General features: G+C 37.4%; 1 protein-coding gene across 14 annotated transcripts in view; it reads left to right on the top strand.

Moving 5' to 3' along the window:
* UGGT2 (UDP-glucose glycoprotein glucosyltransferase 2) overlaps positions 1-24,276 on the top strand; it is a 251,822-nt gene that overhangs the window by 205,897 nt on the left and 21,649 nt on the right. For all 14 annotated transcript variants that reach the window (XM_047430471.1, NM_020121.4, XM_011521097.2 and 11 more), the window contains 2 exons: positions 10,303-10,419; positions 14,452-14,578. In XM_047430471.1, the coding sequence (XP_047286427.1) occupies positions 10,303-10,419; positions 14,452-14,578 (244 nt within the window). The remainder of the gene's footprint in view (positions 1-10,302; positions 10,420-14,451; positions 14,579-24,276) is intronic.

The following is a 24,276-nucleotide window of genomic DNA, read 5'->3' as shown; positions in this document are numbered from 1 at the left end:
ACAGTATAAAGATAAGTGGTTGTCAGAGTTTGGTGGCAGGGAGGGGGCAAGTGATGAATATGGTGGAGCACAGAGAATTTTTAGGCAGGGAAAATATGTAGTGGTAGATACATGTCATTATACAGTTGTCCAAACCCGTAGAATGTACAACACCAAGAAAGAAGTCTAATGTAAACTGTAGACTTTGAATGAGTATAATGCATGAATGTAGGTTCATGTATTGCAACAAACATATCACTTTGGTGGGGGGTGTTGATAATAGGGGAGTAGGTAATGCATGTGTAGGAACAGTGAGTATATGGGAAATCTCTGTGCCTTCCTCTTAATTTGGCTGTGAACCTAAAAACTGCTCTAAAAAATAAAATTTTTAATTTAGAAAAAATTAAATAGAAAAAAGGAATAATTAAGGTTAGAATGGCAATCAGTAAAATAAAAAAAAAAAAGAAAAGAAAAGAAAAGAAAGATGCATTTTTGTAGATTTTTAAAAATGAAACCAAAGCTGGTTCTTTGAGAAAATCAACAAAACCGATGAACCTCTATCTAGACTGATCAGAAAAAAAAAGGTAAAAGACACAAATTACCAATATAGAAATGTGAGACATGACAGCACACAGATTCTACAGATACTGAAAGAATAATCAAGGGACTATTAGAATCAACTTTCTGGTAATACCTTCAACAACTTTGATGAAATGGCCAAATTACTTAAAAGACACAAACCACCAAAAGTCAGAACGTGAAATAGGTAACCTGAATAACACTGTATCAGTTGAAGAAATGGAATTTGTAGTTTAAATCCCCAGGCCCAGATAGCTTCAGTAGTGAATTCTATCAAACTTTAAAGAAAGAAATAATACCAGTTTTACACAAACTCTTCCAGAAAATTGAAGAGAAGGGAATATTTTTCAACTCATTCTATGAGGCAGCATTCCCTTGACATGAAGACCAAAGATATTATAAGAAAGGAAAATTATAGACAAGCATTTCTTAAGAAAAGTTGTAAAAATTGTTAACAAAGTTTTAAGTAATCAAATTTAGTAATATATAAAAAGGACCTCTCCCTCCTCCCCCCCTCCCCTCCTCCCCTCTGCACGGTCTCCCTCTGATGCCCAGCCGAGGCTGGACTGTACTGCCGCCATCTTGGCTCACTGCAACTTCCCTGCGTGATTCTCCTGCCTCAGCCTGCCGAGTGCCTGGGATTGCAGGCGCGCGCTGCCACGCCTGACTGGTTTTCATATTTTTTTGGTGGAGACGGGGTTTCGCCGTGTCGGCCAGGCTGGTCTCCAGCTCCTAACCGTGAGTGATCTGCCAGCCTTGGCCTCCCGAGGTGCCGGGATTGCACACGGAGTCTCGTTCACTCAGTGCTCAATGTTGCCCAGGCTGGAGTGCAGTGGCGTGATCTCGGCTCCCTACAACCTCCACCTCCCAGCCGCCTGCCTTGCCCTCCCAAAGTGCCGAGATTGCAGCCTCTGCCTGGCCGCCACCCCGTCTAGGAAGTGAGGAGCGTCTCTGCCTGGCCGCCCATCATCTGGGATGTGAGGAGCCCCTCTGCCCGGCTGCCCAGTCTGGGAAGTGAGGAGTCCCTCTCCCCGGCCCTCATCCCGTCTAGGAAGTGAGGAGCGTCTCTGCCCGGCCGCCCATCATCTGGGATGTGGGGAGCGCCTCTGCCCCGCCACCCCGCCACCCCGTCTGAGATGTGAAGAGCGCCTCTGCCCGGCCGCGACCCCGTCTGGGAACTGAGGAGTGTCTCTGCCCCGCCGCCACCCCGTCTGGGAAGTGAGGAGCGTCTCTGACCAGCCGCCACCCTGTCTGGGAGGTGTACCCAACAGCTCATTGAGAACGGGCCATGATGACGATGGCGGTTTTGTCGAATAGAAAAGGGGGAAATGTGGGGAAAAGAAAGAGAGATCAGATTGTTACTGTGTCTGTGTAGAAAGAAGTAGACATAGGAGACTCCATTTTGTTCTGTACTAAGAAAAATTCTTCTGCCTTGGGATGCTGTTAATCTATAACCTTACCCCCAACCCCGTGCTCTCTGAAACATGTGCTTTGTCCACTAAGGGTTAAATGGATTAAGGGCGGTGCAAGATGTGCTTTGTTAAACAGATGCTTGAAGGCAGCATACCAGTCATCACCACTCCCTAATCTCAAGTACCCAGGGACACAAACACTGCGGAAGGCGGCAGGGCCCTCTGCCTAGGAAAACCAGAGACCTTTGTTCACAAGTTTATCTGCTGACCTTCCCTCCACTATTGTCCTATGACCCCGCCAAATCCCGCTCTCCGAGAAACACCCAAGAATGATCAATAAATACTAAAAAAATTTAAAAGAAAGGATCTTATATCATGAATCGTGACCACATGAACTTTATCCCAGGAATGCAAGACTGATTCAGTATTAGAAAATCAATGTAACTCACTATATTAAGGACTAAAATACATATCCATATATATACATGATCAGCTAATTATATGCAAAAGAGCATTTGATATACTCCAGTATCCTTTCCTGATTTAAAACTCTCAGCACACTAGAACCGGAAGGGAACTTCCTCATCCTGATAAAGGGCATCTATGAAAAACCTACAGCTAACATCATACTTAATAATCAAAGACTGAATGCTTTCTCCCTAAGATCAGAAACACAGCAAGGATATCCACTCTTACCTTTCCTATTCAGTATTGTACTGGACAGATACCTAGTACAGCAAGGCAAGAAAAAAAATAAAAGGCATCCAGATTGGCAAGGAATAAGTAAAACTGGCTGTCTTGGACGGGTAAGGGGGACAGTCAATGTGATCATCTAGGTAGAAAACCTCATGTAATCTACCAAAAAGCTAGAACTAATAACTGCATTTCACAAAGTTGCAAGATACAAAATCACTATGAAAATCCAATTCTGTATACTAGCAATAACAATTGAAAATTGAAATTATCCATTTCTGTAGCATTTTAAAAATGAAAAACTTAGTGGTCAGACTTAAGACTTACAGATTGAAAACTACAAAACTGCTGAGAGATTAAAAATCAGCTGAATATTTAGAGAGATATACCTTGTTCATGGTTGGAAGACTGGATATTGTTAAGATGTGGTTTCTCCCCAAATTAATCACTAGATTTAATGCAATTCCAATAAAAACATTACTCTCTATTTTTTCTATATTTATTAGACTTTCTTGTACAAATTAATGAAGTTGATTCTAAAATTCAAATGGAATGCCGTAGACCTAAAATCGCCAAAACAGGCCAGGCGTGGTGGCTCACGCCTGTAATCCCAGCACTTTGGGAGGCCGAGGCAGGTGGATCACTTGAGGTCAGGAGTTGAAGACCAGCCTGGCCAACATGGTGAAACTCTGTTTCTACTAAAAGTATAAAAAATTAGCTGGGCATGGTGGCGGGCACCTGTAATTCCAGCTACTTGGGAGGCTGAGGCAGGAGAATCACTTGAACCCAGGAGGTGGAGGTTGCAGTGAGCCGAGATCATGCCATTGCACTCCAGCCTGGGCGACAAGAACAAAACTCTGTCTCAAAAAAATAAATAATTAAAAATAAATAAAAAATAAAATCACCAAAACAACTTTGAAAAATAAGAAAGTTAAAGGACTTATACCACCTTGTTTTAAGACATAATATATAGCTACTGTAGTCAAAATAGTTTGGTGTTGGTGTAAAGATAGACAATTTGATCCATGAATTAGAATAAAGAACCCAGAAATAGACCCCATATATGGCCGGTTGACTTTTGACAAAGGTGCAAAGATAATGCAGTGGAGAAAGGATAGTCTTTTCAACAAACAGTGCTGGAACAATTAGATATCCTTATGCCAAAAAAAAACCCCAAAAACCTCTAAACCCTAATATGCCGTAAGTAAAAATTAATTCCAAACACATCATAGACAAAGGTACAATATAAAATGTTTAGAAGATAGGAGAAAATCTCTGTGATCTTGAGTTAAGCAGAGATTTTTTAGGTATGATACTAAAAGCATGATTCATAAAAGAAAAAATTGATAAATATACAAAGAGCTCCCAAAACTTATTAATAATAAAATAAGTAATCTGATTTGTTAAAGAATCAGATTGACCCATCACCAAAGATGATCAAGTGTCAATAATTCCATGAAAAGATGCTAAACATCATTAGTGATTAGGGAAATGCAAATTAAAACTATGGTGAATACACACCAATTAGAATGGTTAACATTAAAAAGACTGACCATACCAAGTGTTGAAAGGATATATACCTGCTAGAATTCGCATACATTGCTTGTGAAAATGAGTGTAAAATGGCTAAGCCCTTTTGAAAATCAGTTTGGCGATTTCTTTTACAGTTTAACTTAAACCTGCCATATGATTAGTCATTATACTTCAGGGTGTTTACCCAAGAGAAATAAAAGTACCTGGCCACACAAATGCTTGTACATAAATACTCATAGTAGCATTATTCATAAAAGCCAAAATCTAGAAACAACCCCCCTGTATTTGTTACCTGTTGCTGCATAACAGCTTATCCAAAACATAGCAGCTTAAAACAACAAACAGTTTGTGTGGATCAGTTCCTGTAGTCTGACCTAGCTCAGTGTTCTGCTTCATTGTATCTCTCAAGACTGCAATCATTGTGTCAGCCCGGGGACTGCCGTCTAATCAAAAGACTTGACTGCTAGGCAAAGTCACTCACATGGTTGTGGACAGGGTTTATTCTTCAAGAGCTATTATACGGAAAGTCTAATTTCCTTGCTGGATGTGGCTATAGGCAGTCATCAGTTTCTGGCAGATGGCCTTATCCATAAGGGCAAACATGAGAGAGAAGAATCAGAGAAAGAGAGGATGCCAACAAAATGAAAGTCACAGTCTGTTATAGTCTAGTCTCAGAATTGACATCCCATTAGTTTTGCCATATTCTGTTTGTTAGAAGGTAGTCACTAGATCCAGCCAGACCAGGAGAAGGAATTGCACGAGAGAATGGATACCAGAAGTCAGGAATTATTGGAAGCCATATCAGAAACTGCCTACTGCAAATATCTGTCAAGAGGAGAATAGATAAAAAGATATGGTATATTCATAGAATGTAATACTACTCAATAGTAAAAAGGAATGAATTATTTATACACAGACAACATGGATGACTCTAAAAATAACAATGCTGATCCATACCAAAAGTATATAGATTTATATATAATTTATATGAAAAGTCAGACCTAAAGTATTTGTATTATATAATCCTATTTATATAAAATTGTAGAAAATGCAAACTAATCCAAGGTGAAAAAAGCAGTTCATGCTTACCTGGGGACTGGATTGGGTGCATAGAGGAAGGATAGGAGGGAACAATTGCAAAAGGACACAGGGAGTCTTAAGGGTGATAGCTATATTCAATTATGTTAATTATGTGATGGTTTCACAGAAATATACATATGTAAAATTCTTTATGCCCAGTAGTGGTACTGGCATAAGGTTACACATATTGGTCACTAGAATAGAATTGAGAGTTCAGAAATAAGCCTATGCCTCTACTCTCATTTGATTTTTGTCAAGCATTCCAAGACAACTTAATGGGGAAAGAATAGTCTTTTTAACAACTATGCTAGACAACAGGAAATTCACTTGTAAAGAATGAAGTTGGACCCCTACCTCACATCATATATAAAAATTAACTCAAAATGGATCAAAGATTTAAATGTAAGAACTAAAACCGTAAAACTCTTAGAAATGAACATAGGTGTAAATCTTTGTGACTTTGGATTAGGCAATGTTTTTAAGTTATAAAACCAAAAGCACAAGCAATAAAAGAAAAAGATAAATTAGCATCAAAATTTAAAGACTTGTATGCTTTAAAGGACACAAGAAAGGGAAAAGACAACTTTTAGAATGGGACAAAATATTTGCAAATCATGTGTCTGACAAGATACTAAAATCCAGAACATATAAAGAACTCCTGTAGGATGTGAGGGCAATCTGGCTGCTACATCTGTCACCCCATTGATCACCAGGGTTGATTCAGCTGATCTGGCTGGCTACGCAACTGACCTCTTCCTCCCTCACTGCTCCATGTGTGTTCCTCCCGAAACTGCATGCTGGGTTGAAGAAGATGACCATCCCCAATAGAGGAGGACCAATCTTCAGTCAAGGGTACACTAGTAGCTGCGCTTCCCTGCCAGAACCTCCAAACAAGCTCTCAAGAACTCCCATAACTCAATAGCAAAGGAAAATAACCAATTTACAAAGTGGTCAAGGGATGTAAATAGACATTTAAGCATGTTTATTTTTATTTTTATTTTCCGTGTTTTTTATTTTACTCTAAGTCCTGGGATACACGTGGTGAACGTGCAGGTTTGTTACGTAGGTATACATGTGCCATGGTGGTTTGCTGCACCTATCAACCTGTCATCTAGGTTTTAAGCCCCACATGCATTAGGTATTTGTCCTAATGCTCTCCCTCCGCTTCCCCCAGCCCTCCAATAGGCCCCAGTGGGTGATGTTCCCCTCCCTGTGTCCATGTGTTCTCATTGTTCAACTCCCACTTATGAGTGAGAACATGTGGTATTTGGTTTTCTGTACCTGTGTTAATTTGTTGAGGATGATGGTTTCCAGCTTCATCCATATCCTGCAAAGGACATGAACTCATTCTTTTTTATAGCTGCATAGTATTCCATGGTATATGTCTGCCACATTTTCTTTATCCAGTCTGTCACTGATGGGCATTTGGGTTGGTTCCAAGTCTTTGCTATTGTAAATAGTGCTGCGGTAAACATACATGTGCGTGTGTCTTTATAGTAGAATGATTTATCATCCTTTGGGTATATACCCAGTAGTGGGATTGCTGGGTCAAATGGTGTTTCTGGTCGTAGATCCTTGAGGAATTGCCACACTGTCTTTCACAACAGCTGAACTAATGTACACTCCCACCAGCAGTGTAAAAGTGTTCCTATTACTCCACATCCTTGCCAGCATCTGTTATTTCCAGATGTTTTCATGATCACCATTCTAACTGGCATGAGATGGTATCAAAACCACTCATTGTGGTTTTGATTTGCATTTCTCTAATAATCAGTGATGATGAACTTTATTTCGTATGTTTGTTGGTCGCATAAGTGTCTTCTTTTGAGAAGCGTCTGTTCATATTCTTCGCCCACTTTTTGATGGGGTTGTTTTTTTTCTTGTAAATTTGTTTAAGTTCCTTGTAGATTCTGGATATTAGCCCTTTGTCAGATGGATAGATTGCAAAAATTTTCTCCCATTCTGTAGGTTGCCTGTTCACTCTGATGATAGTTTATTTTGTTGTGCAGAAGCTCTTTAGTTTAAATAGATCCCATTTGTCAATTTTGGCTTTTGTTTCTGTTGCTTTTGGTATTTTAGTCATGAAGTCTTTGCCCATGCCTGTGTCCTGAATGGTATTGCCTAGGTTTTCTTCTAGGGTTTTTATGGTTTTACATTGTACATTTAAGTCTTTAAGCAGAGATTTAAATGTGTTTATTTGGAGATTTTAATATGTTTATTTAAATAGACATTTAAATACGAAATATGTCTATGTAAATAGACATTGTATGTGTTTACTAGCCATTGATATATCTTCTGTGATACACAAATGTCCAATAAACACATGAAAAGATGCTCAATGCCATTGTCATTAGGAATAGCAAATCAAAACCACAATGAGATACCACTTCATACTCGCTATGATAGCTACAATAAAAAAGATTGACAATAACAAGAGTGGACAAGGATATGGAGAAAATGGAACCATGATACGCTCCTATTTGGAATGTAGAATAGTGTACCAAGTTCAAAAACAGTTTGACAGGTCATGAAAATGTTTAACAGAGTTAACATATGACCCAGCAGTTCCACTCCTAGATATATACCCAAGAGAGTTGAAAACATGTGTCCAAACAAAAATTTGTACAAATGTTTATAGAAGCATTGTTTATAACAGCTGGAAAATGGAAACAACCCAAATGCCCATCAGTTGACAAATGAATAAGCCAAATGTTGTAAATTCATATAGTGGAATATTATTTGGCTGTAAAAAGGATTGAAGTACTGAAATATGTCACAGCATAGATGGACCTTGACAACATTGTGCTGACAGAAGCCAGACACAAAAACCTGATAATGTATAATTTTACTTATGTGATATGTCCAGACTAAACAAATTCGTAGAGACAGAAAGTAGATTATTAGGTACATGGAGGTTAGGGAAGGATATGAGGACAGTGTGTGAAATAATCAGCTAAAGATCAGCTAAGTGACAACAGAGTAGACCCATATATATAATTGACAGAATTAAAGTTCCCCTAAGATTTATATTCAGGAGGTTAAAATGAAAAAACAGTCGGCATGGGGGGTAGTGTGTGTGTGTGTCCTGTACTCATGGAACTCAGCCATGTTGAGTTCCATGAGAACAGTTACAGAGATTGAGATTTAATCAGGACTATGACTTTGTCAAGAAAGTACAACTAAGTGAGAGAAGAATAAGACAGTTGAGAGTATATTCAGAAGAATAACTATATAGGGGTGAATACATCAAGGAATGAGGGACAGTGAAATAGTGGTAAAATCAGTTGATTGGAGGTTCCAAGGGGTCAAAGGATATTGATATCTGAGTACTCAGTGGAGTGAGCCAAAAATCAAGAGGTGGTCAGAGAGTGGCACCATGAAATTGAAAGTATAGAAGACTTGGTCTAGTATATAACCATTTGAGTTAGTAGCTTAGATAATATGGTAGGCCAGGTTATTTAAGGAAGGGATTCCAAGGAACTAAGGGTGTCAGAAGGGACAGTTAAGGTTTTTCTTTCTTTGATTAACGGACTTTATTTTTTTAGAGCAGTCTTAGGTTTACAAAAAAAATGAGCAGAAAGTATGGGTAATTTTCTATTTCTGGGCTCTTTATTGTGTTCCATTGATGTATTTGTCTCTTATTTTTCCAATACCACACTGTTTTGATTACTGTAACTTTATAGTAAGACTTCAAGTGTGGTAGTGTCAGCCCTCTGACTTTATTCTTCAATATTGTGTTGGATATTCTGGATCTTTTCCTTTTTCCCTAAACTTTAGAATCAGTTGGCCAATCTCCACAAAATAACTTGCTAAGCCTTTGATTGGGATTGTGTTAAGTCTATAGATAAATCTGGGAAGAACTGTTATCTTGACTATGGAGTCTTCCTATGTGTGAACATAGAATATCTCTTCATGTATTTCAGTGTTCTTTGATTTCTTTCCTCAGAATTTTGTAGTTTTCATTTTGTTGAGGAACATATTTTATTAGATTTATGTTTAAGTATTTCTCTTTTTCGGTGCTAATGTAAATGGTGTGTTTTCTTAAATTTCAAATTATGTTTGTTCATTGCTGGTATATAGAAAAGCAGTTGACTTTTGTATATTAACTTTTTATCTTGTAACATTGCTAAAATTGCTTATCAGTTCCAGAAGTTTTTTCCCTTGATTCTTGGGATTTTCTGCATAAACAATCCTGTTATCACAAACAGTGACAGGTTTTTTTCCCTTCCCAATCTATATACATTTTCCTTTTCTTGTCTTATTGCATTTGCTAGGACTTTCAGTGTGATGTTTAATAGGGATGTTGAGAGAAGAACCTTAAAATTGTGAATCTTGGAGCTTATGTAGGACAACCAGCACAAGTACCCTTCATACTCTTGGAGAGAGAGGAACATGCCTTTGCTCTTGAATATAAGCAGATCTTCTATAGGGAAAGGAAGGGAAGGACTCCACCCCTGGAATATAAACAAATATCTCTGGGGAAGATTTGTCTGATTCTCTCCAAAGGTCTCTAACTTACTAGGCTAGTTTGCCAGTCAAACATCCATTAACCCAGATGCCAGCAATCTTTACTTAGAGAGCTCTGAGCATGCAGAAATGGGAAAATATTCATGGATCATTGTTTCCAATGGGGAGATGAAAATTCACCTCAGAATCCAGAGAGCATTGTGGTGACCAATATGAACAGTAATTGCAGGCATAATGTGAGCAATAGAGGCAGATAGAGGTAGTGAGGCTGTCCATTGTGGGGACTATTGAATGGTAGGTTTCTATGCCTCCTTCTTCATCCTTGTTCCCAGGGGTAGAGTCTAGGAGAGATGTAGGTATATTCCAGTGCATGGATTCATTCATGACACAAGATGATTGGATCACCTTAGGTATTTTAAGCTTTAAAGTGTAGAGAAATCTCAGATTTGCATATGTTTTATGATCTGTTTACAGTCTAACTGATGTCTTACTTCATTCAGCTTCTTTCCTTCTGACTCTAAATTTCATACGTCTATGATTAAATCACAATTTTCTGTAGGATCTCCCCAATAATATGATTTACCAAGTCGCCATTAAGTCTCTTCCTCAAGACTGGCTGTGGTGTGAAACCTGGTGTGATGATGAATCCAAACAAAGAGCCAAAACAATTGATCTGGTGAGTGTCTTTGTTTTCATTTGTATGTAAGCAGATACAGAAATGTTTAAATAGAAATATTTTCTTTCTGTTTTACAAAGGGAGTGGCATACGTATTACTTCGCTTCTTCTGCTGTTCAGTCTATTACACATTTACTTAGGTTGGCAAGTATAGGGTTATTTTGGGGGCCCCCAAGACCACCCTGAGGTTTGATGATTCACTAAGGAGATTCATGAGATGCAAAATATAATCATATTCATGGCTTGATTTATCACAGTGAAAGGATATAAAGCAAAGTCAGCAAAGGGAAAAGGCACATGGGGCAAAGAGAAAATCAGGTGCAAGATTCCAAGAGTCCTTTCTCTGTGATATCACACGGGACAAGCTTCATTCCTCAAGCAATAAGAGATTCCACAACCAGTGTGAAGTATTACCTACTAAGGACATTTATTAGAAACCCCAGTGTCCAGGGGTTTTACTGGGGGCTGGTGACCATATAGCACTGTCTGCCTGAGACACACCTAAATTTCCAGCACTCAGGAGGAAAGCAAGTGTTTAGCATAAACACCTTTGCACAGATAATTTAGACACAGTGAGTTACTCTTATAAAGGAATGGTGAGAACCATCCTGAACCCTGTGTTCCCAGATGCCAGCGAGGAGCCAAACTTACAAGCAGGTCTTTCTAAGAATAGCAATTTCAGGCTTTCTGTATTAACTCTTTTCTGCAAAAGGACTTTTGAAAAAAAGGCTTAGAGGGCTGGGCACGGTGGCTTACGCCTGTAATCCCTGCACTTTAAGAGGCCGAGGCAGGTGGATCACCTCAGGTCAGGACTTCGAGACCAGCGTTGCTAACATGATGAAACCCCATCTCTACTAAAATTACAAAAAATTAGCTGGGCGTGGTGGCACATGCCTGTAGTCCCAGCTACTCAGGAGGCTGAGGCAGGAGAATTGCTTGAACCTGGGAGGCAGAGGTTGCAGAGAGCGGAGATGGCGCCACTACACTCCAGCCTGGAGACAAGAGCAAAACTCCATTTCAAAAAAACAAACAAACAAAAAAAAAGGGCTGAGAGCTAGCTGAAAATGTTTGTGGATTAGCTATCATCTTGACATGTCTTCAGTTTAGTTATCCTGCCAATATTTTCCCCCAAATAAAGGCAAACAAGACAATTTTGTCTACTTAAAATATATCATACATGCTTTTTTCTTACTTATTTTTAAGAGATTATTTTTCCTAGATTTTCATTTAAAGCAGTTTATGCTGTGCAGTTTAACTCTCCTAAACATAAAATATTTCAAAGTAATTTATTTGTTGTCCATTTAGATTTTATATTCCACTACTACCTTGTCTTTAGTAGGTATAATAAGTTTTTTTCCTAGTATATTGTTTTTAATGTGCTAAGTGTAGAAAATTGTTTACAAGATCTTCACTGACGAATAAGCTATTAAAATGTTAGAATTCACACAATTTTGAACAAAAAAGAGCAGGAAAACAAAATATAGGAACTTTTTCAGACATGTATAGAAATACATATTTTAAAAATAGCATGCCAGCATGTTAGAATGTAATCATAGTTGGTAGAATATAGCAGAAACAAATAAAAAGGCATTTTTAAGAGGTAAGCAAGGGAATTTCATAAAGAGAGGCCAAGAACATTATTGAACACAACTACTAATATGTTGTTAGGGTTCTGTTGTGGCTCATACAGTAGTGGTGTAGGTCATTTTGGGATCTTTAGTACTTAGACTAACATGAGCTACCATAACAAACCCCCAAAATTCAGTGGCTTCATACTCATTCCAGCAGCAGACCTAAGTGGATATCTCCGTCATTGAGTAGCCCTCCTGTGTGCCATGTCTCAGGGAGTACTTTTTGTCCACCTGTAACTGCTTCTTCCAGTGCAGTAGCCACTTGCCTTATGTGGCTGTTGAGCCCTTAACATGTTGCTATTCTGAATTGAGATGTGCTGTAAGGTATAAAGTACACACCAGATTTTGAATACTCAATACAATGAAAATAACATATATCTCATTACTAATTTTTGTATTGATTACATGTTGACTTAGTATTTTGGATATATTGGGTTGAATAAAATATAGTATTAAAATTTATTTCACCTATTCCTCTTACATTTTTATACATGGCTACTAGAAAAATTTAGTATTTTTCTAGTGAAAAAACCCACAAATTATGTGTATGGTTTTCATTGCATTTGTATTGGATAGTACCAATCTGGAGGGAAGGGGAAAAAAAGTGTGGAGAACATATATCTTGAATCCTAAAGGCATGGCCCCTTGGTGGGAGTTGGTCACGTGGCCATATCTAGATGTAACAGGAGCTGAGAAATGGCATTCCTGGATGGACAGCTACTTCCTAGCAATAGCAATACCAATACCCAGGAAAAGGAGAAGTGGCACAAATTTTGGTGTTCAGCCCGTCTCCCTCATAGAAACACTAAGAGTAGAATGAGAGAACATGCTATTCTTCATGGAGGAGAAAAGAGAATGCAGAAAATTCCCAAGGAAATGGCCTAACAGAAGAAAAGAGCATGACTAATAATATTGAAGGTGGGAATGAAAATGTTTATGAATGTCATTATACTCTCTCAACTTTCCATCTCAGAGTTTTTCAGCCTCAGTACTATTGGCATTGAGGAGTGGAGAATTCTTTGTTACAGGGGTTTTCCTGTGCATTGTTGGGTATTCAGCAGCATTTCTGGCCTCTGTCCACTAGATGGCAGTAGCACCCCACCACTCCCCGGCCATCACACATTTTCTCCAGACTTTGCCAAAGCTCCCCGAGGGGCATGATTACCCAGTTAAGAAACACTAATAAAGCTTATAGAGTGTATGCATGAGCACACACATACACACACACACACACACAAACCCAATGTAGTACAAATAGCTAAACAAAACATAATATTTTTATTTTTTTAATAGTATGACAGAATTAAAAAAAGAATTAGTCCCATTATCTTCACTATATAGAAGACATTGCCTATAAAGTTAATTTCTGCAAGGAAAATTGTGTTGTCCACTTACCTCAGGAATATGTCACTATGGAAAAGAAATCCATAATGAATCAACTGAAAATATTTGGTGAGGAAAGGGTTAAGACAACAGGCTCACGGCTCATGACTAATAGCTTTCCCCTAAGAAATAAGAGGAAAGCAAGTGGAGAAAATGTCACCAGAAGTGAGCTTCAAGTTGCTTCCTGCCTTAATTCTTTGTAAATAGTGAATGGGCTTCCTTTATTACTTGATGAAGTTTATACTGCTCCCATTGTCTTCTGTCTCAGTAAATGGCAAATCCATTTTTTATATTGCTCAAGCCAAAGGTACTGGTGGCTTTGTCTTTCTTTGATGCCTCTCTTTACTTACAGCTCACGTCCAATATATCAGCAGATCCTTTCAGCTGTACCTTCAGATACATAGTGTGTCAGACTCTTATCAACCTTCTATAATTTTTGCTTTTAACTTTAATTTCCCAAGAAACTCTATAGTAGTACTCAATAGTTTAAACTGATTGTGTATTGATGGAACCTTAGAGATTTTCCTATTTTAATTTCTTTTGCAGTTGAATAAATTAAGCTACACACCCTACACACACACATAATTATGTGATACATACACATCCTACTACTAGTAAATATGGAGTTGGAACCCTGAGAACCGAGATGCCATTTCCATGTTTTTCTACTGTGCCTACAAAGCACACTAGTCTGCTATGTTCTTCTACATAGTGGTAATGTAATTAGATCTTTTGTCAAAAAGTTTTACATAATTTTTTTTTGACAGACTTATGAGTCATCAGAATGTCTTTCAACAATTTTTATTTAAATTTCTGATTGAGGTATTTGTATTAAGCAATTATTACATACATAAGTTGTGATATATCATTTCACCTGATCCTGTGTGTATTAAACTTCCAGTACTTAGTAGGACTCTGCTTTTTATAAAATGTATTTTGTTTGCCCTAGTGACACAGCATTGTCCTTATGTTTCCAGGAGCATGGTCTTTCATTAACAAAATTTACTTAAACTTTTAGTGCAATAATCCCAAAACAAAAGAATCCAAACTAAAAGCTGCTGCCAGAATTGTCCCAGAATGGGTGGAGTATGATGCTGAGATAAGACAACTATTAGATCATCTTGAAAACAAGAAGCAAGATACAAGTAAGTCATCAACGTGTTGTGATGTCTGAAACATGCGTTGCATTAATGAGATTAGAATAGACTACAGACTCATTTCTTAGTGAATTTATAAAATGATTAAGAATTTCTTTAAGAAAGTCTGTGGCATAATTTAAAGGTGTATTTTTGTGTAGACTAAGCTTACAAGTTTAAAACATAGATAATCTGTTTCCCCATGGATACAGCTTCAGCTCATAACTCTATATGGATAGATAGTGTAACATTAGTCTCCTGACACAACATAGAGGTGAAAAATAAAAGTAAAAGGAGTGTTTGTCTTTAAGATTGCACTGAATTTCCTAAATGTGAAAATTTGAGCAAGTCCTAAAAATTAATAAAAGCTTTACATAGCTAACTAAAAATATCATTTCCTATCTCCAAAATTAATCTCATATATAACAGAGGTTTCCCCACGTGTTTGTGGTTCTAGTATGTTTAATCATGGGCTGGAGAATGACTTGGATTAGATTTGCTTCAATTCCTTTTATGAAAAAAACTGTGGCTACCTTGGCATTTCATTGCCCTACATAAGTGTTCAACAAATGTGCTGAATTTATTTTTTAAAGCTGATACAAACTTCTTGATTGTCCTGTAATTCTCTTTCCCTGTCAGTGCTGCCTGTGTCTCCCTATTCTTCACTCTTTCTTAAAAAACCCCCTGAACTCCTATTGTGTTCGGGTCAGTGTGTTAGAGACTTTCACTAGATTATATTGGCTAATACTCTCAATAATTCTTCCCAGTGGTTCAGAATACAGTTCTCATTTTCCTCAGCTTTACTGTTTAGGGAAGCCGAAATGATTATGTATAAACTGTCTCATATAAACGTGAAATTGTTTCATCTTGACTTTAAAAAAAAAAAAAAGTTTTCCTTTAAAAAAAAAAAGTTTTCTTGGTGTGTTCAAAAAGTTCATTATACACACCCATGTATGTATAATAATTTAGTATAGATAAAGATACTATTTCAATTCATAAGAAAATATTCTGTAAGTGGTATGATATGACTTTTTTTAAAGGGAGAGAAGTAGGATGACAAAGGGAGGAGGGAGAGAAGGAAAGAAAGCAGGAAGAAGGAAGAAAGGAAAATTACCTCAACAAAAAACATCTTTTTCTTATATATAAGTATTTCTTTTATCAAATTGGGAAAGAGGTAACAGTTAATAATAATGAGCATTGGTGAGAATGTTGGAAAGTTAGCATTTTTATACAAGTAAACGTATAGTAGCTGTATAAGTTAAGGAAATTTTATATGTATAAAAACTTAAAATTTGTATACCCTTTCACCCAGCAATTCACTTCAACAAACTTAAAAAAAGAAAAATGATGTCTATATTGGTGTTTATTATAGCATTATTTTTAACAATGAAATAGAAATAATCTGTCCATCAATAGACAATTGGTTACATAAACATTGATACAAACAATGAAATACAGTGTAGCCTTTCAAGACAAACAAGGTAAATGTATTTGTGCTGGCAGCATATTTTAAGTTAAAAAATAGGTTATAGAGCAATATTTATAATTGATCTCGTTTCCATTAAAGAAAAATCATAGGTCTGTATGTATGTGTTTGTGTATAGATATGTATATAAGTAAGGGAGAGAAGTTTTACAAAAGAGATTTTTTTTTATTATTATTATACTTTAAGTTCTAGGGTATATGTGCACAATGTGCAGGTTTGTTACATATGTATACATGTGCCATGTTGGTGTGCTGCACCCACTAACTCGTCATTTACATTGGATATGTCACCTAATGCTATCCCACCCCCTACCCCCACCCCACAACAAGCCCCAGTGTATGGTGTTCCCCACCCTGTGTCCAGGTGTTCTCATTGTTCATTTCCCACCTATGAGTGAGGACAGGCGGTGTTTGGTTTTCTGTCCTTGTGATAGTTTGATGAGAATGATGGTTTCCAGCTTCATCCATGTCCCTACAAAGGACATGAACTCATCCTTTTTTAAGGCTGCATAGTATTCCGTGGTGTATATGTGCCACATTTTCTTAATCCAGTCTATCATTTTTGGACATTTGGGTTGGTTCCAAGTCTTTGCTATTGTGAATAGTGCCGCAATAAACATATGTGTGCATGTGTCTTTATAGCAGCATGATTTATAATCCTTTGGGTATATACCCAGTAATGGGATGGCTGGGTCAAATGGTATTTCTAGTTTTAGATCCTTGAGGAATCGCCACACTGACTTCCACAATGGTTGAACTAGTTTACAGCCTTACCATACTGTAAAAGTGTTCCTATTTCTCCACATCCTCTCCAGCATCTGTTGTTTCCTGACTTTTTAATGATTGCCATTCTAACTGGTGTGAGACAGTATCTCATTGTGGTTTTGATTTGCATTTCTCTAATGACCAGTGATGATGAGCATCTTTTCATGTGTCTGTTGGCTGCATAAATATCGTTTTTTGTGAAGTGTCTTCATATCCTTCACCCACTTTTTGATGGGGTTGTTTGATTTTTTCTTGTAAATTTGTTTAAGTTCATTGTAGATTCTGGATATTAGCCCTTTGTCAGATGGGTAGATTGCAAAAATTTTCTCCCATTCTGTAGGTTGCCTGCTCACTCTGACGATAGTTTCTTTTGCTGTGCAGAAGCGCTTTAGTTTAGTTAGTTCCCATTTCTCAATTCTTGCTTTTGTTGCCATTGCTTTTGGTGTTTTAGTCATGAAGTCCTTGCCCATGCCTGTGTCCTCAATGGTATTGCCTAGGTTTTCTTCTACAGTTTTTATGGTTTTAGGTCTAACATTTAAGTCTTTAATCCATCTTGAATTAATTTTTCTATAAGATGTAAGGAAGGGATCCAGTTTCAGCTTTCTACATATGACTAGCCAGTTTTCCCAGCACCATTTATTAAATAAGGAATCCTTTCCCCATTTCTTGTTTTTGTCAGGTTTGTCAAAGATCAGATGGTTGTAGATGTGTGGTATTATTTCTGAGGGCTCTGTTCTGTTCCATTGGTCTATACCTCTGTTTTGGTACCAGTACCATGCTGTTTTGGTTACTGTAGCCTTGTAGTGTAGTTTAAAGTCAGGTAGCATGATGCCTCCAGCTTTGTTCATTTGGCTTAGGATTGTCTTGGCAATGCAGGCTGTTTTTTGGTTCCATATGAACTTTAAAGTAGTTTTTTCCACTGAATCTATGAATTACCTTGGGCAGTGTGGCCATTTTCACAATACTGATTCTTCCTGTCCATGAGCATGGAATGTTCTTCCATTTGTTTGTGTCCTCTTTTATTCCTTTGAGCAGTGGTTTGTAGTTCTCTTTGAAGAGGTCCTTCACATCCTTTGTAAGTTGGATTCCTAGGTACTTTATTCTCTTTGTAGCAATTCTGAATGGGAGTTCACTCATGATTTGGCTCTCTCTTTGTCTGTTAATGGTGTATAGGAATGCTTGTGATTTCTGCACATTGATTTTGTATCCAGAGACTTTGCTGAAGTTGCTTATCAGCTTAAGGAGATTTGGGGTTGAGACGATGGGGTTTTCTAAATATACAATCATGTCATCTGCAAACAGGGACAATTTGACTTCCTCTTTTCCTAATTGAATACCCTTTATTTCTTTCTCCTGCCTGATTGCCCTGGCCAGAACTTCCAACACTATGTTGAATAGGAGTGGCGAGAGAGGGCATCCCTGTCTTGTGCCAGTTTTCAAAGGGAATGCTTCCAGTTTTTGCCCATTCAGTATGATACTGGCTGTGGGTTTGTCATAAATCGCTCTTATTATTTTGAGATACGTCCCATCAATACCTAATTTATTGAGAGTTTTTAGCATGAAGGGCTGTTGAATTTTGTCAAAGACCTTTTCGGCATCTGTTGACACAATCATGTGGTTTTTGTCTTTGGTTCTGTTTATATGCTGGATTACGTTTATTGATTTGTGTATGTTGAACCAGCCTTGCATTCCAGGGATGAAACCCACTTGATCATGGTGGATAAGCTTTTTGATGTGCTTCTGGGTTTGGTTTGCCAGTATTTTATTGAAGATTTTTGCATTGATGTTCATCAGGGATATTGGTCTAAAATTATCTTTTGTTGTTGTGACTCTCCCAGTCTTTGGTATCAGGATGATGCTGTCCTCATAAATTGAGTTAGGGAGGATTCCCTCTTTTTCTATTAATTGGAATAGTTTCAGAAGGAATGGAACCAGCTTCTCTTTGCACCTCTGGTAGAATAGGACTGTGAATCCGTCTGGTCCTGGAGTTTTTTTTGGTTGGTAGGCTCTTAATTATTGCCTCAATTTCAGAGTCTGTTCTTGGTCTATTGAGGGATTCAACTTCTTCCTGGTTTAGTCTTGGGAGGGTGCATGTATCCAGGAATTTATCCATTTCTTCTAGATTTTCTAGTTTATTTGCGTAGAGTTGTCTATAATACTCTCTGATGGTAGTTTGTATTTCTGTGGGATCAGTGGTGATATCCCCTTTATCATTTTTTATTGCATCTATTTGATTCTTCTCTCCTTTCTTCATTAGCCTTGCTAGCGGTCTGTCAATTTTGTTGATCTTTTCAAAAAACCAGCTCCTGAATTCATTGATTTTTTGAAGGGTTTTTTGTGTCTCTGTCTCCTTCAGTTGTGCTCTGATCTTAGTTATTTCTTGTCTTTTGCTAGCTTTTGGATGCGTTTGCTCTTGCTTAGCTTGTTCTTTTCATTGTGATGTTAGGGTATCAATTTTAGATCTTTCCTGCTTTCTCTTGTGGGCATTTAGTGCTATAAATTTCCCTCTACACACTGCTTTAAGTGTGTCCCAGAGATTCTGATATGTCCAGGTTGCAGCAGAGAGAGAGGTTTAATCATAGGGCTGCCAAATGAGGAAACAGAATGAAAACTCAAGTCTGTGTCCCTGAGCAGTTTGTGACTAGTGATTTTTAAGGGTTTTGGAGGGGGCCAGAGTATGGAGAGCATTGATTGGTCGAAGAGTGCAAGGTGAAGTCGTGGTATAGGGAGATGAAGAAACTATATTCTCATGCTGAATTGGTTACTTTGTGGGGATCTTCAAACTGGTTGGTGTCAGCTGTTCTGCTGGAACTCACGATCTGCTTAGGCAATTCTTAAAAGCCTTATGATTCTGATGTCAGAAATCCCATCCACAAGAACAATGGGGATGCAAATGGTCAGTATCTAGTGCTAAGTAACTTTCAGTTACAAGGAAGTGGGTCAAAGTGCTGCCTGACTAATAGTTAACCATACTTCTGTCCAGAATTCTTGTTTAACTCTATAAGGATGGCTTGAGATATAGTATATCTTTTATAATTTACATTTCTCTTTTTCATTATATTAGTTTGCTAGGGCTGCTATAACACAGTTCCACAAACTGGCTGGCTTAAACTGGACATTTATTGTCTCACAGTTCTGGAAGCTGAAAGTCCAAGATGAAGGTGTCCACAGGGTTGATACCTTCTGAGGGCTGCGAGGAAAGAATTTAACACAGACGTCTCTCCTTGGTTTGTAAATGGCTTTCTTTTCCTTATGTGTCTTCACATTGTCTTCACATTCTCTGTCCTTGTTCAGTTAGGACACCTGTCATATTGGATTAGGGTCTACGCTTATGACCTTATTTTAACTTGATTTCCTCTGTAAAGATCCTGCCTCCAAATAAGGATACATTTGGAGATACCAGAAGTTAGAATTCTTGTAAATTTTGTGGGGACCAAAATTCATGTATTTTTGAAATATGAATTAAACCCATAACATGGGTGGAGTTAAGAATCTTGTCATATATTTAAAGGCCATTAGTATTTCTTCCGCTGTTCTTGTCATTTGCCTGTTTTTTTCTAGAGGATTGTTGCCTGACACTGGAAGAAATTAATTTCTGTTCCACACATTTGTATTGCCATCTTTATCATATATTAAATTCCAATATTAGGATGTCTTGTTTGGCCCTTTTTATTCCGTTCCATTGGTCTCTGTCTATACATGTGCCAAGTACATACCACTTTAATTATTAAGGACTTATATTATGTTTTAATATCAAGTAAGGCTAGCCTTTCCTTATTACTCTTCTTTTTTGTTGTTTTTCTGTGTATTCTTGTTTTTTTTCCATACAAGCCTTAGAATCAACTTAGTTTCAGAAAATTTTCTGTGTTTTTCTTGGGGGGCTGTGTGGGATGGTCAGAGAAAGGATTACATTAATTAGTTGGCTTGAGAGAATTGACATCTTCATGGAAACTACTGTCTCAGAATACATTGTCTTTCTATATATTCAAGTCCAGTTTTCCTCAAGAATCATAACATTTTAATCATATAGCTTATATATATATATAGTTTAAGCTTTTCTTTGCTACTGTTATAAATGGAATTTTTCTCTTGAAGAATATCTTCTTACTGGTGGTTGCTTGTACATAAAGACTACTTTCTATACATGGATCTTTATTTCCCATGATCATACTGAATTTTTATATTGGTTGTAGTAATGTTTCAGCTTATTCTCTTGGGTTTTTCCAGGAATACCCACATCTTATCTCCAAATAAAGATGGTTTTCCCTTTTCCTTTCTGATCATTGTACATCACACTGTTTTTGTTTGTTTGTTTGTTTATTTTACTTGCTTTGACTTATACATCTAATACGGTGTTAAATAATAAAGTGGTGGTAGTAGGCCTTTTTCCTTACTGTGGTTGACCAACTTCTATGTTTCCCCGTTAAGATAATAGTGTTGGACTGAAGAAGAATATTTTTATCATCTTGAGGAAATAACCATTGATTCCTATTTTAATATTTTTATCAAAGATGGGTTGAATTGGTTGCATTTTATCAACTTATTCAACAGAAATAGAGGTGACACATAATTTTTCAACTTATAGATTATAAACTACAACATTATTTGTAGTTTATTATAAATTATAATCTATAACTATATTAATATATTTCCTAATATCGAATCATTTTTTCTAATATTGAAGCATCCTTGTATTCCTAGAATAAACTCCACTTGGCCCTACAGGTTGGCTGGACACAGAAGAGCAGTAGCAATCACTGTAGTCTGGTTCTCAGAGACTCCTACTCCTAGGAGAAGGGGAAGAGCACCACATCAAGGGAGCAACCTGTGGGACAAAAGAATTCAGACAACAGGCCTTGAGTCCCAGATCTTTCTGCTGGTGGGAGTTTCTTTCAGCAGAGACATAATTGCAGTGCTAGGCTCAGCAGGAAAAAGTCTGGAGCTGTACCCCAACATTCAGGCAGACTTGGTGCTCTTGGAGGGTCTTGGAGAAGACCTTTCCCACCTTGTCCACCACTGCAGACACAGCTGGGGCTTCTCCCACAGGAGCTCAGTGTGGCTGAACCTATAGACAGCCTTCCTGGAACACTTCAGGGTGACTGCATTGCCGCAGGAGAGGTATCCTCCAGGTTCAGGCTTGCACAAGAGGCAGTCACAATTCCTCTCTCCTTAGAACATCAACATGCCTACAGATAAAAATACCTGAATAGCTGGACCACTGGGATAAGAGTGAGTCTGGGAGTTGGATAGCTTTCTTGCTTGGCCTGGCAAGGAAGCTGAGGTGGCTCTCACTCTTCCCCTTGTTAAGACATCAGTGCATCTAATTGAGAGCTCCCTCAGCCACCTTCATCAAGGCTGGTACCTCTGTCCACCATTGGATATTACATTTACCACCTGCTTTAGCTACAACAGGTTCCTACCCAGGGATACCACTCCTATCCTGAAGCCTGAACCATCAACTCAGTAAATAAAATACTGGGGAGAAATTAAATTAAAAAGTGCACACCACAGGGGAATGAGGTAAGCTTCAAGAGACCTCTGCCATTACAATTCCATAGGAGATAGCAAACTTGCCAACACACTGAGTACATGACTATTACAACCACATCTGAGGAAGCCATCATAGAAAGACTCTCCACAACCAAGGAATTCATAGAGTCTTCACTCCCAAAAGCACAAATAACCAAATTAAGCTATAATAAACATTAAACTCACATTCTTAAGGGGGAAAGAAGAAATTAAAAATGCTGTCAAATAAAAAATAAAGAACAATTAGAAGAAATAGTATACCCAAATGAGAAGGAACCAGAAAAGTAATTCTGGTAATATGACAAAACAGTGTTCTTTAACACCCCCAAAAAAGATCACACGGTCTCTCCAGCAGTGGATCCAAACCAAGATGTAATCTTTGAAATACCAGATAAAGAATTTAGAAGATTATTACACTACTCAAGGAGATACCACAGAAAGGTGAAAACCAACATAATTTTTTTAAAATTCAGGATATGAATGAAAAATTTTCTAGAGAGATATAAAGAAAAATCAATCAGAACTCTGGAAATGAAAGACATGCTTAGGGAACTATAAAATGCCATGGAAAGGTTCAACAATAGACTACAACATGTAGACAAAAGAATTTTAGAGCTCAAAGATAGGCTTTTGATTAATCCAATAAGACAAAGATAAAAAGGAATCAAAAGAAATGAAGAAAGTCTTTAAGAAATATGGGATTATGTAAAACATCCAAACCTAAGAATAATTGGTGTTCCTGAGGAAGAAGAGAAGGCTAGAAGTTTGCAAAACTTATTTGAGGGAATAATTGAGGAAAACATCCCTGGCCTTGCTAGAGATTTAGATATCCAAATACAAGAAGCTCAAAGAACTCCTCGGAAATTTCATTATGAAAAGATCATCACCGAAGCACACAGTTGTCAGGTATCTAAAATCAACTAGAAGGAAAGAATTCTAAGAGCTGTGAGACAAAAGCATCAAATAATCTGTAAGAGAAAACCTATCCGACTAACAGCAGACTTCTCAGCAGAAACCTTATAAGCTAGAAGGGAAATGGGGTCCTATCTTTAGCCTCCTTAAACAGAATAACTGTTAGTCAAGAATTTTGTATCCAGCAAAATGAATAAATCCAGTAAAACTAAAACCTTTCATAAACGAAAGAGAAATGAAGTCATTTTCAGAGAAACACATGCTCAGGGAATTTGCTACTACCAAACCAGCACTATAGGAAATGCTAAAAGAAGTTCTAAATCCTGAAACAAAAGTTCAACATGCACTAAAATAGAACTTCTTAAAAGCAAAAAATAAAAAATAAAAAACTCACAGAGCCTGTAAAACTAACACAACAACAACAGTTTATCTAGGTAACAACTAATATTGATGAATAGAACATTACCCCATATCTCTATTAACATTGAATGTAAATGGCCTAAATGCTCCAATTAAAAGATATAGAATGGCAGAATGAATTTAAAAATCACAATCCAAATATCTGCTTTCTTCAGGAGACTTAACTAACATATAAGAATTCACATAAATTCAAGGTAAAGGGATGGAAAAGATAAGCTACACAAATGAAAACCAAAGCAAGCAGGCGTAGCTATTCTTATATCAGACAAAACAGACTTTAAGGCATCAGCAGTGAAAAAAGACAAGGTCATTATATAATGATAAAAGGATCAATCCAACAAGAAGATACTATAATACTAAATTTATATGCACCTAACACTGGAGCTCTCATATTTATAAAACAGTTACTACTAGACCCAACAAATAAAATAGCAACACAATAATAGTGGTGGACTTAAGTACTCCACTGACAGCACTAAATAGATTGAGACAGAAAGCCAACAAACAGTGGACTTAAGCTATACCCTAAAACAAATGGACTTAGCAGAAGTTTACAGAACATTCTGCCCAACAACTGCAGAATATACATTCTTCTT

Source organism: Homo sapiens, chromosome 13, assembly GCF_000001405.40.
Source record: "Homo sapiens chromosome 13, GRCh38.p14 Primary Assembly".
Lineage (NCBI taxonomy): Eukaryota > Metazoa > Chordata > Mammalia > Primates > Hominidae > Homo > Homo sapiens.
Note: the sequence above shows the minus strand (reverse complement) of the source record. Positions and strands in the feature narration are given on the sequence as shown.